The sequence below is a fragment of the Homo sapiens genome, chromosome 4 (genome assembly GCF_000001405.40).
Source record: "Homo sapiens chromosome 4, GRCh38.p14 Primary Assembly".
Lineage (NCBI taxonomy): Eukaryota > Metazoa > Chordata > Mammalia > Primates > Hominidae > Homo > Homo sapiens.
This window is the reverse complement of record NC_000004.12, coordinates 165621657-165625045: the sequence shown is the minus strand read 5'-3', so window position 1 is coordinate 165625045 and position 3389 is coordinate 165621657. Positions and strand designations below refer to the sequence as shown.

The window sequence follows — 3389 nt, the reverse complement described above, 5'->3', positions numbered from 1 at the left end:
TGCAATTCCCTATGCCTAATGAGAACAACCTACTCCAGGTCTCTGCATGGCTTGGTCTCTAGATACATTCAATTATTGGCTTACATGTCACATTGTCAGAGAGACTTGCCAATTATTCTCTATTCTCTTACCCGTCTTTATTTTTCTTTATAATACTATTACCTGACATTATACTCTAGGTCCACTAATCATTATCATATTAATTATATCATGTCATAGTGTATCATATTATTGGCCAATTACTAAAGGCCACAGAGAATATAAGCTGAAGCTCTAAGAGAGCAGGAACTGAGTTCTGTCATCATTGTATCCCCAGCCCCCAGAAATGCCTGGTATATAGGGAATACCAGGAATATTTGCTGACTGATGGAATGTTGAGCTGAAAGGGGCAACCCTATAACTTTCATCCACTGATCCAAGTTCTGCTTTTTTAGAATCACATAAGAGTGAACATTCTTCCACATAACAGCCAACACCCAAATATTTGTAAACAGTTTTCAAACCCTTTTCTTTCAGAACTATCAATCATACATCAGGCAGTAGAGAGCATTTTCAAGAGTATGATATTAAAATACGTTTTTTTCACATCAAAGCAAACAACCAGAGAAGTGAATTTAGGGATTATGAGTAGGGGTTTACGGATATTAGAGAAAGTACTGTGATTTGGGGTTAGAAGATGGAACTGGGCAACAGGGAAGGAATCCAGACTGTTGCTGTTTCTCTTATTTAAAGAATGTTATAAAGTGAAAATGAATTGCTAACCCGATACTACAGTTCTTTGACAGAGTAATATAAATTTCAACATGTTGAAAGAAGAGCCTCAATGTTAATTTTTTCTTGACAAAAGTTTTCCATTTTACATAGGGAATTAACATCTAACCCTAGTTTCTTTATCTGTAAATTGAGGAGATAGACAAGATTATCTTCAAATTTTCTGACAGCTTTGAAATTATCTTTATAACTAAATTCCACCTAGTGAATAAGTAATCCCATAGGGGACACAGTATTCTGCTGAGATTGGAGATGAGGAGCTGGCTGATGATCTGAGGGACATAAAAGCTCTGGAACTGAATGAGGAACTTGAAAGATAATAATAATAATAAAGAAGATATTAAGCATCCGTGGAGAACCTATTTAGAAGTACAGAATTAGAGTAGACCAACATTTCACAGGTTGGGGTGTTTGCTGATGCTATCTGGACCAGGAGGAGAGGGCACAGAGCGTGTCATGCAAGTGACTCGAGCCTGAGGCTGGGCAAAGCAGAGGCCATGAGATTCTAAGGTAACCATGAGAGTGGTATTCTGGTCATGGGTACATCTTGAGAGAGAAAGTACAGCCAGAAAGAGATAAATGAATTGGTCAGATTGAGAGAAATGAGACAGGGAGAGTAAATGAACATTTTCTTTCAACAAGAACATACATGGCAGGAAGCTAGAATATGCCCTCTAACTATTTACTCTGACAGATGACTATGATGTATGTCTGTTCTTTACTCCTTAACTCTTTATAATCAGTGCTGACTCTCAAAGTATCTTAAATACTTGTGTATTATAATTATTTCTAAAATCTCGTTCTTCTTTGAGGCATCTTAACTCTTATTCTGCTTTAAAATAATTCTGTATTTGGAAAATTTTCTCTATTTGTATTCAGGTTTCAATGAATGTCATGAAAATGACTAAAATTGGGTAGTTGCATATTATCCTGTATGCTTAGCATGTATAACTCAGCTTTTTAAACATTTTCATATAGCTTTTTTACTGAAGGAAGTATAGCATATTCTCCATAATCAATGATAATGGAAGAGGAGACTAGTATGGATAAATTAGATACACAAACCTCATTATAGTCAATAGTTTGAAGGTTCTCTTTGACAGATATTTACCAGACTTCCTAGCAGGAGCAAAATTATTTGGTTTTCAGTCTCTTTTGATTCCCAGAAAAGCAGGCAATCAGGGCTAGGTAAGGGCTAAGTGTGGATATTCTGCCACAGAGTCTATCGTATGTTCAGTGACGACATCCACCGGGCTCACCTGTGTGCTGCTCTCTTCCCTCCTGAAAAATCTTAATCCACTTTCTTTTCCTTCGGAATGTTAGCTGGCACTATTAATCAAGCAGCCTTCAGCACACTCATCAAGTTATTTTTATTTACATTCTTAATTTTCTCTTTAAATTATCTCCATCTTCTCTGGTTTTTGTTTAGTTTTGTTTGTTTGTTTTTTGAGATGGGGTTTTGCTCTTTTTGCCCAGGCTGGAGTGTAGTGGCGTGATCTTGGCTCACAGCAACCTCCACCTCCCCTGTTCAAGCGACTCTCCTGCCTCAGCCTCCCGAGTAGCTGGGATTACAGGCATGCGCCACCACGCCAGGCTAATTTTGCATTTTTAGTAGAGACGGGGTTTCACCATGTTGGCCAGGCTGGTCTTGAAATTTTGACCGCAGGTAATCCACCTGCTTCAGCCCCCATAAGTGTTAGGATTACAGGCATGAGCCACCTCGCCCAGCCTCCATCTTCTCTTTGGAAAACTGGTCCAGCACTGGGGTCTCAAATTTAACATAGCACCTTTTTTTTTCCCTCTCGCCTGTTTCTAAACCTCAAATCCTCTTTGCAGATCTCTACTTTTCATTACTATTTTTCTTTTTTCTAAAACAGTGAGCGTTTCTCTAATGACGAGGCTGTGGCCCAGGCTTTGTTACCGTTCCTTACTCACAAACACCCGCATGAGAGCCCTGTCATCCAAATATTTACTGATGGCAGCCACAATTCCTTCCTCTTCAAGTTCCCAGTGAGACTTCTTTTCCCCTGCCAACACTATCTTCCACCAGATAAAGTCATTGTTACCTGGAGGAAACTGGTTTCCTGTCTGCAGTTTGCTGAGTCACATCTAGCCATTACTCTGCTATGATCATCCAACTCTTTTTTTTCCTTTTTGCACCACGTACTACATACAGTGCGTCTCCTCATCCAGTTCTGTAAGGCTTCCTTAGCCAAAAATGAATCTCACCTTTTACATCATGGGTCCTTCTTTCAAATTCCCACTGGCCATTTATCTCATCCACATTCTTTCTCCACCTACTCACTCACTCCTTTCCTATTTTCTCCAATTATCTGGGAGCCACATAAGGAAGCATGACTGTCCCAAACTTGCCAGTTTAAAAAATAGATGCCCTGGGCCTGGCGCGGTGGCTCACTCCTGTAATCCCAGCACTTTGGGAGGCCGAGGCAGGAGGATTACCTGAGGTCAGGAGTTCAAGGCCAGCCTGTCCAACCTGGTGAAACCCTATCTCTACTAAAAATACAAAAATTAGCTGGGCGTGGTGGTGGGTGCCTGTAATCCCAGCTTCTTGGGAGGCTGAGGCAGGAGAGTTGCTCGAACCTGGGAGGCAGAGGTTG

At 40.4% G+C, this 3389-nt stretch overlaps 1 annotated feature.

The window, feature by feature from the left end:
- Nucleotides 2715-3009: an enhancer, noted in NCBI's record as "tiled region #6683; K562 Activating non-DNase unmatched - State 24:Quies, and HepG2 Activating non-DNase unmatched - State 24:Quies". NCBI's record gives its function as "activates a minimal TATA promoter and a strong SV40 promoter by Sharpr-MPRA in K562 cells, with weaker activity in HepG2 cells {active_cell/tissue: K562 | HepG2}" and the evidence as "EXISTENCE:reporter gene assay evidence [ECO:0000049][PMID:27701403]".